General features: G+C 38.5%; 1 protein-coding gene and 1 long non-coding RNA gene across 4 annotated transcripts in view; one reads left to right on the top strand and one right to left on the bottom strand.

Moving 5' to 3' along the window:
• Positions 1–16,383, bottom strand: part of OR2L13 (olfactory receptor family 2 subfamily L member 13) — a 163,987-nt gene that overhangs the window by 21,130 nt on the left and 126,474 nt on the right. The gene's annotated exons all lie outside the window — the stretch shown is intronic.
• Positions 1–16,383, top strand: part of LOC105373275 (uncharacterized) — a 47,838-nt gene that overhangs the window by 15,509 nt on the left and 15,946 nt on the right. Inside the window, exons 3-4 of one of the 2 annotated variants that reach the window (XR_949368.3) lie at positions 14,070–14,149; positions 14,775–14,898. This is a non-coding gene — a long non-coding RNA (uncharacterized LOC105373275). The remainder of the gene's footprint in view (positions 1–14,069; positions 14,150–14,774; positions 14,899–16,383) is intronic. The other variant, XR_949369.3, reaches the window with a different exon arrangement.

Here is a 16,383-nt window from a genome sequence, read left to right as displayed (position 1 = left end):
ATATTGGTGGGGAGGGAGAGCTGACTCTTCTTGCTGATTTGTTAAGAATTCCTTGTGCATGTTGGATATCAATATTTTACCCAATATCTTCCAATGTGTGGCTTGCATCTTTATTCATAGTGGAGCTGTTTCATGAGCAGAAAGTTTTAGTTGCATGAAGATAAATTCATCAATCTTTTATTTTGTGGTTTTTCTTTTGGTCTTCTTTAAGAAATCTTGGCCTAATCCAAGTCATAAAGATAGTCTACTATGCTAACATTGTAATTCTTTTCCAATTAGTTTTTGCATATATGTTGTAGGATCATTACAAACTGACCCAGCATCATTTATTGAAAAGGCCTCAGTGACAGATTAGGTATTGTTATTAATTATGTATCTATGTGGGGCAATTAATAGACTGGCTATGTTTTACCCTTTGTCTATATTTCTATTACCGAACAGATACCACATTATATTAATTTCTGTAGCCTTATAAAACGTTTTGATATTAGGTAGAATAATCATCCTGTCTTGTTCTTTTTCTTTCTTTTTGTTTTCAAGTTTTCCTGTTTTTGATTCTTTTCATTCCTGTAGAAATTTTAGACTCTGCTTTCAATTTCACACACAAAAAATGCTGAAATTTTTAAATTCAGATTGCAGTAAGTATTTAGCTCAATTTAGGGAAAAATCATAACTTAAAGATAACTTTTTTGCTTTATTATTACAATTTTTGCATTGAATTTTTGTTGCCGTTATTTGTGTGTTGAATTTTAGGACATTAAAAAAAGTACAGAAAATTTCTGTATACCCTTCACCCAGCTTGTCCCAGTGTTACTATGTTATATAACCATAGTACATTATCAAACCCAGGAAATTCATTTTGGTAGAATACTATTAACTCATTCAAATTTCACCAGTTGTTATATGTATTGTGTGTGTGTGTTTGTAAAATTCAATGAAATTTTTATCACATGTGTAGATTTATGTAACCTTCGCCCCAATCAGGATACAGAACTGTTTTATTACCACAGAGAAACTTCCTCTTGTTATTCCTCAATAGTCAGTCACATCTTCTCCCCAAACCTCCTAACGTCTGGAGACCAATGATCTGTGCTATATCACTATAATTTCATCGCATAGATACAGATATAGATATAAAACATACATTATGTAAACTTCAGAGATTAACTTTTCTTTTTTTTACAAAGTACAATGCCCTTGAGCCCTATCCAAGTTATCATATGTGTCAATAATTTGTTCTTTTTATTTTCTGAATAGCATTCTAGTGTCTAATTGTACCAAAGTTTGTTTATGCATTTGTATTGAAGAACATTTGTGTTGTTTACAGATTTTGCTATTACAAGTGAAGGTCCATAGCTATGGACCTTCATGTACAGGTTTTTGAATGACTGTAAGTTTTTATTTCTCTAGGATAACGATCCAGGAACATTCGGTTGTAAAACGAATCACTGCCATCCTGGTGTGGTATAATAAATATATATTTAACTGCATAAAATACTGCCCCTTTTTTTTCCAAAACAGCTGTACTTAGTTTGTGTGTGTGTGTGTATGTGTGTGTGTGTGTGATGGAGTCTCGCTCTGTTGCCAGGCTGGAATACAATGGCGCGATCTCAGTTCACTGCAACTTCCGCCTCCTGGTTTCAAGTGATTCTCCTGCCTCAGCCTCCCGAGTAGCTGGGACTACGTCACCACGCCCAGCTAATTTTTGTATTTTTGGTAGACACGGGGTTTCATCATATTGCCGAGGATGATTTCGATCTCCTGACCTCGTGATCCACCCGCCTCAGCCTCCCAAAATGCTGGGATTACAGGTGTGAGGCACCGCGCCCAGCCAGCTGTACCATTTTTTATTCCTACTAGCAATTTTTGAAATACCCAATTGCATTGCATCTTATTTAGCACTTGGCACTACCAATAATTTTATTCTGATACGTATGTAGTTTATTTTATCACAGATTTAATTTTAATTATAAAAATATATTGGAAATCATTTTAGTATTTTTGTTTGTTTTGCTTATTTAGGTGTTTATCCTATTTGATAAGATGCCTCTTAATGTCTTTTATCATTTATTTTCACTGTTGACTTTTTGTGTTTTTTTATACATTCTAGAGAATAGGCCTTTGTCACATTTGTGATTTTCATATATTGACATATATTTCATTTGTGAGTTGTCTGTTTAACTCTTTTGCTCATAGTCTGATTGGATTTAGTTTTTATGTACTAATAAATATATAGTTACCTGCATATTCTCTACACAAGTCCTTTGACAGAGCTGTGATTGGCAAATATTTTCTTCTAATCTCCCTTTAACAGAAGTTTTTAATTTTCATGAAGTCGTACTTACACAGTTTTTCTTCATGGGTCATGTCTTTGCTGTCATGCCCAAGAATTATTTCCCTAACCCCAAGTCATAAAGATTTTCTTCTATGTCAAATGGATAAATTCCTGGACACATAGACTCTACCAAGACTAAACCAGAAAAGAAGGTGAATTTCTGAATAGACAAATAACAGGCTCTGAAATTGAGGCAATAATTAATAGCCTACACCAAAAAAAGTCCAGGACCAGACAGATTCACAGCCGAATTCTACCAGAGGTACAAAGAGGAGCTGGTACCATTCCTTCTGAAACTGTTCCAATCAATAGAAAAAGAGGGAATCCTCCCTAACTCATTTTATGAGGCCAACATCATCCTGATACCAAAGCCTGGCAGAGACACAACAAAAAAAGAGAATTTTAGACCAATATCCCTGATGAACATCAATACGAAAATCCTCAGTAAAATACTGGCAAACCGAATCCAGCAGCACATCAAAAAGCTTATCCACCATGATCAAGTGGGCTTCATCCCTGGGATGCAAGGCTGGTTCAATATACACAAATCAATAAATGTAATTTATCACATGAACAGAATCAATGACAAAAACCACATGATTATCTCAATAGATGCAGAAAAGGCCTTTGACAAAATTCAACAGTGCTTCATGCTAAACACTCTCAATAAACTAGGTATTGATGGGACGTATCTCAAAATAATCAGAGCAATTTATGACAAACCCACAGCCAATATCATATTGAATGGGCAAAATTGAAAGCATTCCCTTTGAAAACTGGCACAAGACAAGGATGCCCTCTCTCACCACTCCTATTCAACATAGTGTTGGAAATTCTGGCCAGGGCAATTAGGCAAGAGAAAGAAATAAAGGGTATGCAATTAGGAAATGAGGATGTCAAATTGTCCCTGTTTGCAGATAACATGAATGTATATTTAGTAAACCCCATCATCTCAGCCCAAAAACTCCTTAAGCTGATAAGCAACTTCAGCAAAGTCTCAGGATACAAAATCAATGTGCAAAAATCACAAGGATTCCTATACATCATTAACAGACAGAGAGCCAAATCATGAGTGAACTCCCATTCACAACTGCTACAAAGAGAATAAAATATCTAGGAATCCAACTTACAAGGGATATGAAGGACCTTTTCAAGGAGAACTACAAACCACTGCTCAATGAAATAAAAGAGGACAAAAACGAGTGGAAGAATATTCCATGCTCATGGATAGGAAGAATCAATACCATGAAAATGGCCATACTGCCCAATGTAATTTATACATTCAATGCCATCCCCATCAAGCTACCAATGACTTCCTTCACAGAACTGTAAAAAACTACTTTAAAGTTCATATGGAACCAAAAAGAGCCCACATTGCCAAGACAATCCTAAGCAAAAAGAACAAAGCTGGAGGCATCACGCTACCTGACTTCAAATTATACTACAAAGCTACAGTAACCAAAGCAGCACGGTACTGGTACCAAAACAGAATTATAGACCAATGGAACAGAATAGAGGTCTCAGAAATAATGCCATACATCTACAACCATCTGATCTTTGACAAATCTGAGAAAAACAAGAAATGGGGAAAGGATTCCCTATTTAAAAATGGTGCTGGGAAACTGGCTAGCCATCTGTAGAAAGCTGAAACTGGATCCCTCCCTTAGATCTTATATAAAAATTAATTCAAGATGGATTAAAGACTTAAATGTTAGACCTAAAACCATAAAAACCCTAGAAGAAAACCTAGGCAATACCATTCAGGACATAGGCAAGGGCAAGGGCGTCATGACTAAAACACCAAAAGCAATGGCAACAAAAGCCAAAATTGACAAATGGGATCTAATTAAAGAGATTCTGCATGGCAAAATAAACCACCATCAAAGTGAACAGGTAACCTACAGAATGGGAGAAAATTTTTGCAATCTACCCATCTGACAAAGGGCTAATATCCAGAATATACAAAGAACTCAAACAAATTTACAAGAGAAAAACAAACAACCTCATCAAAAATTGGGCAAAGGATATGAACAGACACTTCTCAAAAGAAGACATCTATGCAGCCAAAAGACAAATGAAAAAATGCTCATCATCACTGGTCATCAGAGAAATGCAAATCAAAACCACAATGAGATACCATCTCACGCCAGTTAGAATGGCAATCATTAAAAAGTCAGGAAACAACAGATGCTGGAGAGGATGTGGAGAAATAGGAACGCTTTTACATTGTTGGTGGGAGTGTAAATTAGTTCAACCATTGTGGAAGACAGTGTGGTGATTCCTCAAGGACCTAGAACTAGAATAACCATTTGACCCAGCAATCCCATTACTGGGTATATACCCAAAGGATTATAAATCATGCTACTATAAAGACACATGCACACATATGTTTATTGTGGCACTATTCACAACCAAAATGTCCATCAGTGATAGACTGCATTAAGAAAATGTGGCACATATACACCATGGAATACTATGCAGCCATAAAAAAGAATGAGTTCATGTCCTTTGCAGGGACATGGATGAAGCTGGAAACCATCATTCTCAGCAAACTATCACAAGGACAGAAAACCAAATACTGCATGTTCTCACTCATAGGTGGGAATTGAACGATGAGATCACTTGGACACAGGGTGGGGAACATCACACACTGGGGAATCTCAGGGGCTGGGGGTCTGGGGGAGGGACAGCATTAGGAGAAATACCTAATGTAAATGATGAGTTGATGGGTGCAGCAAACCAACATGGCACATGTATACCTATGTATCAAACCTGCACATTGTGCACATATACCCTAAACTTAAAGTGTAACCATAAAAAAAGAAGATTTTCGTCTATGTCTTCTAAGATTTTTATTTTTAACTTCAACTTGTATTTTAGATTCAAGGGGTACGTGTGCAGTTTTGTTAAATGGTATATTGCATAATGCTGAGCTTTGGGGTACAAATTCTGTCATCCAGGTAGTGAGCATACCACCCAATAGGTAATTTTTCTCCCCACATCTCCCTCTCCTTAACCTCTTTAGTAGTCTTCAGTGTCTTTTGTTACCATGCATGTGTCCTTCTGTACCAAGCATGTGTCCATGCTTGCACTTTTAAGTGAGACATTCACTATTTAGTGTTCTGTTCCTGCTCTCAGCTTGAACGTTGTTGGTGTATAGAAATGCTATTGATTTTTGTATGTTTATTTTGTATTCTGAAACTTTGCTGAAGTTGTTTATCAGTTCTAGAAGCCTTTTGGCTGTGTCTTTGGGGTTTTCTAGGTATAGAATCATATCGTCAATGAAGAAAGATAATTTGACTTTTTTTTTTTTTAACACATTTTACCTCTCCACCAGCAATGTTTGAGAGCTCGTATTACTCTCCATCATCACTAGCATTTGGCATTTCAATATTTTTAATTTTAACCCTTCTAGTGGTGGTATCTTCACGTCATTTTAAAATATGCCATTACCTAGAGAATAATCAAGTTCAGCACCTTCTAAGATGCTTACTGGTCATTGATATATGTTATTTTAAGAAAAGTATCTTTATATCTGTGGCCAAAATGTTTTTAATTTATTTTATTCAGTTTTAAATTTTTTATTTATTCTGGAGAAAAGTATTTTGTCAAACATGTGTACTGTAAATATTTTTCTTGCTTTTTGGCTAGCCTGATTATTATTTTAATGGTATATTTCACAGAACAGAGATTTAATTTTTTTAAGTCCGATATATAATTCCGTTTTATACAATTAGTGGGCTTTTCTTATGAGTTGTATCTACAAAAAAATTATATACTTCAAAAGTTAAAAGATGCCATCTTACTTTTTTAGAGCTTTATAGAGTTAATATTTATATTAGTCCATGTGTCAATGGAGAGAGATTTGTGGTTTTTAAGTGTATAATGTTTTAGTCAAAACATGTTATTTATCTACATATTAACTTTTCTATAATATTTATTTTTTTAACCATGCACTCTTTCATTAATGAAAGATCATCTACCTGATTTGTACCCACTAGCAAGCTAACATCCATGCTTCTTTTTTTTATTTTTATTTTTTATTTTTTTAATTCTTTTTTATTTTATTATTATTACACTTTAAGTTTTAGGGTATGTGTGCACAATGTGCAGGTTAGTTACATATGTATAAATGTGCCATGCTGGTGTGCTGCACCCATTAACTCATAATTTAGCATTAGGTATATCTCCTAATGCTATCCCTCCCCGCTCCCCCCACCCCACAACAGTCCTCAGAGTGTGATGTTCCCCTTCCTATGTCCATGTATTCTTAATGTTCAATTCCCACCTTTGAGTGAGAACATGTGGTATTTGGTTTTTTGTCCTTGCGATAGCTTACTGAGAAAGATGATTTCCAATTTCATCCATGTCCCTACAAAGGGCATAAACTCATCATTTTTTATGGCTGCATAGTATTCCATGGTGTATATGTGCCACATTTTCTTAATCCAGTCTATCATTGTTGGACATTTGGGTTGGTTGCAAGTCTTTGCTATTGTGAATAGTGACACAATAAACATACGTGTGCATGTGTCTTTATAGCAGCATGATTTATAGTCCTTTGGGTATATACCCAGTAATGGGATTGCTGGGTCAAATGGTATTTCTAGTTCTGGATCCCTGAGGAATCGCCACACTGACTTCCACAATGGTTGAACTAGTTTACAGTCCCACCAACAGTGTAAAAGTGTTCCTATTTCTCCACATCCTCTCCAGCACCTGTCGTTTCCTGACTTTTTAATGATTGCCATTCTAACTGGTGTGAGATGCTATCTCATTGTGGTTTTGATTTGCATTTCCCTGATGGCCAGTGATGGTGAGCATTTTTTCATGTGTTTTTTAGCTGCATAAACGTCTTCTTTTGAGAAATGTCTGTTCATGTGCTTTGCCCACTTTTTGATGGGGTTGTTTTTTTTTTCTTGTAAATTTGTTTGAGGTCTTGTAGGTTCTGGATATTAGCCCTTTGTCAGATGTGTAGGTTGCAAAAATTTTATCCCATTTTGTAGGTTGCCTGTTCACTCTGATGGTAGTTTCTTTTGCTGTGCAGAAGCTCTTTAGTTTAATTAGATCCCATTTGTCAATTTTGGCTTTTGCTGCCATTGCTTTTGGTGTTTTAGACATGAAGTCCTTGCCCATGCCTATGTCCTGAATGGTAATGCCTAGGTTTTCTTCTAGGGTTTTTATGGTTTTAGGTCTAACGTTTAAGTCTTTAATCCATCTTGAATTAATTTTTGTATAAGGTGTAAGGAAGGGATCCAGTTTCAGCTTTCTACATATGGCTATGGGTTTTCCCAGCACCATTTATTAAATAGGGAATCCTTTCCCCATTGCTTGTTTTTCTCAGGTTTGTCAAAGATCAGATAGCCATAGATATGCAGCGTTATTTCTGAGGACTCTGTTCTGTTCCATTGATCTATATTTCTGTTTTGGTACCAGTACCATGCTGTTTTGGTTACTGTAGCCTTGTAGTATAGTTTGAAGTCAGGTAGCGTGATGCCTCTAGCTTTGTTCTTTTGGCTTAGGATTGAGTTGGCAATGTGGGCTCTTTTCTGGTTCCATATGAACTTTAAAGTAGTTTTTTCCAATTCTGTGAAGAAAGTCATTGGTAGCTTGATGGGGATGGCATTGAATCTGTAAATTACCTTGGGCAGTATGGCCATTTTCACGATATTGATTCTTCCTACCCATGAGCATGGAATGTTCTTCCATTTCTTTGTATCCTCTTTTATTTCATTGAGCAGTGGTTTGTAGTTCTCCTTGAAGAGGTCCTTCACATCCCTTGTAAGCTGGATTCCTAGGTATTTTATTCTCTTTGAAGCAATTGTGAATGGGAGTTCACTCATGATTTGGCTCTCTGTTTGTCTGTTATTGGTGTATAAGAATGCTTGTGATTTTTGTACATTGATTTTGTATCCTGAGACTTTGCTGAAGTTGCTTATCAGCTTAAGGAGATTTTGGGCTGAGACAATGGGGTTTTCTAGATATACAATCATCTCGTCTGCAAACAGGGACAATTTGACTTCCTCTTTTCCTAATTGAATACCCTTTATTTCCTTGTCCTGCCTAATTGCCCTGGCCAGAACTTCCAACACTATGTTGAATAGGAGTGGTGAGAGAGGGAATCCCTGTCTTGTGCCAGTTTTCAAAGGGAATGCTTCCAGTTTTTGCCCATTCAGTATGATATTGGCTGTGGGTTTGTCATAGACAGCTCTTATTATTTTGAGATATGTCCCATCAATACCTAATTTATTGAGAGTTTTTAGCATGAAGAGTTGTTGAATTTTGTCAAAGGCCTTTTCTGCATCTATTGAGATAATCATGTGGTTTTTGTCTTTGGTTCTGTTTATATGCTGGATTACATTTATTGATTTGCATATATTGAAGCAGCCTTGCATCCCAGGGATGAAGCCCACTTGATCATGGTGGATAAGCTTTTTGATGTGCTGCTGGATTCGGTTTGCCAGTATTTTATTGAGGATTTTTGCATCAATGTTCATCAGGGATATTGGTCTAAAATTCTCTTTTTCGGTTGTGTCTCTGCCTGGCTTTGGTATCAGGATGATGTTGGCCTCATAAAATGAGTTAGGGAGGATTCCCTCTTTTTCTATTGATTGGAATAGTTTCAGAAGGAATGGTACCAGTTCCTCCTTGTACCTCTGGTAGAATTCGGCTGTGAATCCATCTGGTCCTGGACTCTTTTTGGTTGGTAAGCTATTGATTATTGCCACAATTTCAGAGCCTGTTATCAGTCTATTCAGAGATTCAACTTCTCCCTGGTTTAGTCTTGGGAGGGTGTATGTGTCGAGGAATTTATCCATTTCTTCTAGATTTTCTAGTCTATTTGCGTGGAGGTGTTTGCAGTATTCTCTGATGATAGTTTGTATTTCTGTGGGATCAGTGGTGATATCCACTTTATCATTTTTTATTGCGTCTATTTGATTCTTCTCTCTTTTCTTCTTTATTAGTCTTGCTAGTGGTCTATCAATTTTGTTGATCCTTTCAAAAAACCAGCTCCTGGATTCATTAATTTTTTGAAGGGTTTTTTGTGTCTCTATTTCCTTCAGTTCTGCTCTGATTTTAGTTATTTCTTGCCTTCTGCTAGCGTTTGAATCTGTTTGCTCTTGCTTCTCTAGTTTTTTTAATTGTGATGTTAGGGTGTCAATTTTAGGTCTTTCCTGCTTTCTCTTGTGGGCATTTAGTGCTATTAATTTCCCTCTACATACTGCTTTGAATGTGTCCCAGAGATTCTGGTATGTTGTGTCTTTGTTCTTGTTGTTTTCAAAGAACATCTTTATTTCTGCCTTCATTTCGTTATGTACCCAGTAGTCATTCAGGAGCAGGTTGTTCAGTTTCCATGTAGTTGAGTGGTTTTGAGTGAGTTTCTTAATCCTGAGTTCTAGTTTGATTGCACTGTGGTCTGAGAGACAGTTTGTTATAATTTCTGTTCTTTTACATTTGCTGAGGAGTGCTTTACTTCCAACTATGTGGTCAATTTTGGAATAGGCGTGTTGTGGTGCTGAAAAAAATGTATATTCTGTTGATTTGGGGTGGAGAGTTCTGTAGATGTCTATTAGGTCTGCTTGGTCCAGAGCTGAGTTCGATTCCTGGGTATCCTTGTTAACTTTCTGTCTCATTGATCTGTCTAATGTTGACAGTGGGGTGTTAAAGTCTCCCATTATTATTGTGTGGGAGTCTAAGTCTCTTTGTAGGTCACTCAGGACTTGCTTTATGAATCTGGGTGCTCCTGTATTGGGTGCATATATATTTAGGATAGTTAGCTCTTCTAGTTGAATTGATCCCTTTACCATTATGTGATGGCCTTCTTTGTCTCTTTTGATCTTTGTTGGTTTAAAGTCTGTTTTATCAGAGACTAGGATTGCAACCCCTGCCTTTTTTTGTTTTCCATTTCCCTGGTAGATCTTCCTCCGCCCTTTTATTTTGAGCCTATGTGTGTCTCTGCACATGAGATAGGTTTCCTGAATACAGCACACTGATGGGTCTTGACTCTTTATCCAATTTGCCAGTCTGTGTCTTTTAATTAGAGCATTTAGTCCATTTACATTTAAAGTTAATATTGTTATGTGTGAATCTGATCCTGTCATTATGATGTTAGCTGGTTATTTTGCTCGACAGTTGATGCGGTTTCTTCCTAGCATCGATGGTCTTTACAATTTGGCATGATTTTGCAGTGGCTAGTACCGGTTGTTCCTTTCCATGTTTAGTGCTACCTTCAGGAGCTCTTTTAGGTCAGGCCTGGTGGTGACAAAATCTCTCAGCATTTGCTTGTCTGTAAAGCATTTTATTTCTCCTTCACTTATGAAGCTTAGTTTGGCTGGATATGAAATTCTGGGTGGAAAATTCTTTTCTTTAAGAATGTTGAATATTGGCCCCCACTCTCTTCTGGCTTGAAGAGTTTCTGCTGAGAGATCCACTGTTAGGCTGATGGGCTTCCCTTTGTGGGTAACCCGACTTTTCTCTCTGGCTGCCCTTAACATTTTTTCCTTCATTTCAACTTTAGTGAATCTGACAATTATGTGTCTTGGAGTTGCTCTTCTCGAGGAGTATCTTTGTGGCGTTCTCTGTATTTCCTGAATCTGAATTTTGGCCTGCCTTGCTAGATTGGGGAAGTTCTCCTGGATAATATACTGCTGAGTGTTTTGCAACTTGGTTCCATTCTCCCCGTCACTTTCAGGTACACCAATCAGATGTAGATTTGGTCTTTTCACATAGTCCCATATTTCTTGGAGGCTTTGTTCATTTCTTTTTATTCTTTTTTCTCTAAACTTCCCTTCTCACTTCATTTCATTCATTTCATCTTCCATCACTGATACCCTTTCTTCCAGTTGATTGCATCGGCTCCTGAGGCTTCTGCATTCTTCATGTAGTTCTCGAGCCTTGGCTTTCAGCTCCATCAGCTCCTTTAAGGACTACTCTGTATTGGTTATTCTAGTTATACTTTCATCTACATTTTTTTCAAAGTTTTTAACTTCTTTGCCCTTGGTTTGAATTTCCTCCTGTAGCTCGGAGTAGTTTGATCGTCTGAAGGCTTCTTCTCTCGTCAAAGTCAGTCTCCGTCCAGCTTTGTTCCGTTGCTGGTGAGGAACTGTGTTCCTTTGGAGGAGGAGAGGTGCTCTGCTTTTTAGAGTTTCCAGTTTTTCTGCTCTGTTTTTTCCCCATCTTTGTCTTTGATGATGGTGATGTACAGATGGGTTTTTGATGTGGATGTCCTTTCTGTTTGTTAGTTTTCCTTCTAACAGACAGGACCCTCAGCTGCAGGTCTGTTGCAGTTTGCTAGAGGTCCACTCCAGACCCTGTTTGCCTGGGTACCAGCAGCAGTGGCTGCAGAACAGCGGATTTTCATGAACCGCGAATACTGCTGTCTGATCATTCCTCTGGAAATTTTGTCTCAGAGGAGTACCCGGCCGTGTGAGGTGTCAGTCTGCCCCTACTGGGGGGTGCCTCCCAGTTAGGCTGCTCAGGGGTCAGGGGTCAGGGACCCACTTGAGGAGGCAGTCTGCCCTTTCTCAGATCTCCAGCTGCGTGCTGGGAGAACCACTGCTCTCTTCAAAGCTGTCAGACAGGGACATTTAAGTCTTCAGAGGTTACTGCTGTCTTTTTGTTTGTCTGTGCCCTGCCCCCAGAGGTGGAGCCTACAGAGGCAAGCAGGCCTCCTTGAGCTGTGGTGGGCTCCACCCAGTTCGAGCTTCCCGCCTGCTTTGTTTACCTAAGCAAGCCTGGGCAATGGCGGGCGCCCCTCCCCCAGCCTCGCTGCCACCTTGCAGTTTGATCTCAGACTGCTGTGCTAGCAATCAGCGAGACTCTGTGGGCGTGGGACCCTCCGAGCCAGGTGTGGGATATAACCTCCTGGCGCGCCGTTTTTTAAGCCCGTCGGAAAAGCGCAGTATTCGGGTGGGAGTGGCCCGATTTTCCAGGTGCCGTCTGTCACCCCTTTCTTCGACTAGGAAAGGGAACTCCCTGACCCCTTGTGCTTCCTGAGTGAGGCAATGCCTTGCCCTGCTTCGGCTCGCACACGGTGCGCTGCACCCACTGTCCTGTGCCCACTGTCTGGCACTCCCTAGTGAGATGAACCCGGTACCTCAGATGGAAATGCAGAAATCACCCGTCTTCTGCATCGCTCACGCTGGGAGCTGTAGACTGGAGCTGTTCCTATTTGGCCATCTTGGCTGCCAGCCCTCATATTATTTAGCTATTAAAGAAAATTAATCTACAAAAAGAATAATATGAGCAAATAATTACACCAAATATTTTTATTATACTTAGGAGTTTTTCCTGGATTTTTAAAAAACATGCAACTATCTAGGAACAATTAAACTCAGCAATTCAGAGGAAGCCAATTAAAACTACCTGTGAAGATACAGTATAACTATGTTTCTAACAAATCAGTTTATTAGGGGGCTGAAAAGGTGTTTCAGTTGATAATATGTAAAAGTAGACAGTTCTGCTATAATATGATACTGAGATTTTCAATACACTTTATGCTGGTAAAACTGCACATTGAAAAGGTAAAATTTCTAGTGCAAATAGGGATAAACCATTCAAAACTTATGAGATGTTTAATCAGGAAATTAACTCTAACTTGTGATAAAATTAGTAGCCCTGCTGAATTACTTCTTGCACTTTAAATCAGTGTCACATAGCCAATGACTGCTCCCTGACATTAAGCCCTTCGTCTTCTCCTGGAATTAATGCTTTTTCCTGCAAATTGTAGATGCTTGTGATCATTTACTTTTAATAAAGTCTATTGAATCAGTATTTAGCATCTGATCCCTGGTAGCTATCTTCACTAGTTAAGTTTTAGCACCAGGGAAATATCTTTGCAACTATCTAATTGGCACTGCTAGCTTCACCAGACAGCTTACAATTATAGAATGCATAGAGGATACTGAAGGTAAATAACACACTACTTGTGGTAAAGACAAAATTTCTGAAATTTTAAGTTTCCTTAAAGAGGGAAAACCCTATCAAAAGTAAGGGCAGTGAATAGAGGGACTGAGGAAGACAAATGTATTTTAAAATATTTAGCAGATAAAATTAAAAGGATCATATGATTGAATTTGGTGGCAGTGAGACAAAATAGCTGAGATTAAGTCCCAAATGTCAAATTGACCTCAGTCCAACATGTGTGGTCCACGTATTCATCTTTGTATTCTCCTAAAATGCTCTAAGTACTAAGTATTCAGTGATTGATAAGATATTTCATCTGTAAAATAATTGCCTATTTTTTCTCCAGATTTTAAAGGCAAGTAAAAAAAAAGTTAGTAGTGGGGTTGAGGTAAATCTTACAAAAGGAAGACAATTATTACTTCTACAGAAACATGAGGGATCACCTCTACCTCACCCACTTTATATCCTCTGTGAGTTTTTTTGCCAAGGTCTAGGAAACAAATTGGTACAAGACAGATTAACGAGGGAAAAGCATATAAGTTTTATTCATTTTACATGTACATGGGAATCTTCACAAGAGTGTGAAGTCCAAATAAATGGTCAAAGCAAGATGCTTTTATAATTTTAGACAAAGAATGATAAGTTGCAGAAAAAATTACAGAAAAAAGAGAAACTGGCTCAAAGCCATACATTCCAAGGGAGTTACTAGGAGGTATATGGGGGTGTAAAGATAGTGAAAAATAAGGGTTAATTCTGGTAGTTTATTATTCAGACTGCATTCCTCCAGCTGTCAGGCTCTGGTGAAGGGCTATTTTCTATTCTGATACAGAGAGGGTACTGGAAGAGTATCAGAATGTACCAGAGATTCCTGGAAGAATCTTTAGAACTTGCTGCATGCTGAAAAGACAGGTGAGATAACCTTTTTCTCCAATGTTAACCAAAATTTCTCACATGTTTTCAGCTCAGACTAATAAACATGCTGACTCAGCATATTTGTGGATGGCATGTAATTCACTCCTTCACTCTACCCAACTATGTCACTATTGAACCACAGCTTGTTGTGATAAATCATCATTCTCAGTAAACTATCGCAAGGACAAAAAACCAAACACCGCATGTTCTCACTCATAGGTGGGAACTGAACAATGAGAACACATGGACACAGGAAGGGGAACATCACACATCGGGGACTGTGGTGGGGTGGGGGGAGGGGGGAGGGATAGCATTAGGAGATATACCTAATGCTAGATGACGAGTTAGTGGGTGCAGCGCACCAGCATGGCACATGTATACATATGTAACTAACCTGCACATTGTGCACATGTACCCTAAAACTTACAGTATAATAATAATAAATAAATAAATAAATGCAAAAAAAAAAGAAAGATACTCATCCTTCAAAATAGAATGAATACTCATGTCCCTTTCCATAAATCAAACTTTGCTAATTTAATACTTAAGAAATTTCTAAATGCACACTGTGTGGTATGAAATGCTAATAGATACCACATGCTGTAAAATTTGCATCTTCTAGCCTGAGGACATGAAAGAATTAAAGAATGACTGTGAAGTGAAAAATAACCACAGCGTAACATTTGGATGGAAAGAAAAATGGCTAAAACGAGGCACAATGAACAGTGAGCCAAGGACTCTGTGAGGTAATGAATTCATTAATTTCCCCAAGAGGAATTATTGTCCAACTTTCAAAATTATCAGGACTACATTCTCATAAACAATGTAGCAAATGACAGTATATTTGGATAATTTGACTTCTTTCTCCGTTGTTCTTCTTAATGACCACAAGGGGAAAGGAGTGGCCTCTGAGTACAGATACTATGTCAGTGGGGACGAGCTTATTGCTTTCCTGAGCCAGAACCTACAGGGGTAAACGAATTTTGAAGTCATTTCTGATAGCCTTGAAATGCTCAGCATTCATTGGTGACCTCTTTATCTCCATTCACAGAGACACTGGCATGAAAAATAGGATTACCATTGCCTATACAGGAATGTCAGTAGGTGGGACTTCAATGATGCCATTTACCAATAAGATAAAGGCATCCATATTGTTTTTCAGTAAACTAACTTCAGAGAGATGGAATGATTTCCCCAAAGCCGTGGTATGTCACAGAAAATCATACAGCTAGGTCTCCTGATTCCCTCCATGAATCACTACCTGGAATGGGTAAAGGGTCTGAACTGGGCACCACTGCTTAATTCAGTCTTCCCTCAGGCTTTTTCCAGTAATAACAACTAACAAAAACAGCAGGTATTGTGTCTTGGTCTATTCAAGCTTCTATGACAAAAATGTCTTAAACTGGGTAACCTATAAACAAGAGAAATGTATTTCTCAGAGTTGTGGAAGCTGGGAAGTTCTTTGTCTTAAGACAAAGTGACTGAAGATTCAGTGTCCTGAGAAGGCTTGCTTTCTGGTTCATAGACGATGGCTTCTACGACACCCTAGATGGCACCATCTGTTGTAACCTCACATGGTAGAAGGGACAAACAAGCTCCCCTGAGCCTCCTTTAGAAAGGCATTAATCTTATTCAAGAGGGTGCTATCCTCATGACCTAATCATTTCCCAAAAGGCCCCAACTCCTAATACTATGACATTGAGGGTTAAGATTTAAGCATATGGATTTTGGGAGGATAGCAACACCCAGACCATCTCACAATCCCACCACTATCCTAGACTGCATGATCTCATTCACTTCCTGCTCACTCTTCCCATCCTTCTCAGGACTGGCTTCGTGGACCTATGCACAAGGTCCTACACTCAAAGGGCTCCATGCATGGTTTCATGCTCCGCTGTTATCATTGGAATATTTAATAATTTCATCTCTGAGTAAGCATGTGACAGAAGAGCTGGACAGGTTGGCAGCATTAGCAAGCAGTTTTGGTCCAGTAGAAATGACTACACAAGGGGGCTAAGGCAACACCCACGTGGGGCAATTTGCCTGGCCTTCTCAGGCATGCACACACACACACACACACACACACACGCACACATCTTGTAATACTTCACAGCACCACAGGATTCCAAGGAGTGGCTTGGGTGTGGCTGGGCTCAGATTGGTGGTGATGACAGAAGCAGTGGCACAGGTGGCAGTTGGGTACAAATGTCCCTACCTGGGAAGAGAGGAGG

Source organism: Homo sapiens, chromosome 1, assembly GCF_000001405.40.
Source record: "Homo sapiens chromosome 1, GRCh38.p14 Primary Assembly".
NCBI lineage: Eukaryota > Metazoa > Chordata > Mammalia > Primates > Hominidae > Homo > Homo sapiens.
This window is presented reverse-complemented; position numbering and strand designations above follow the sequence as displayed.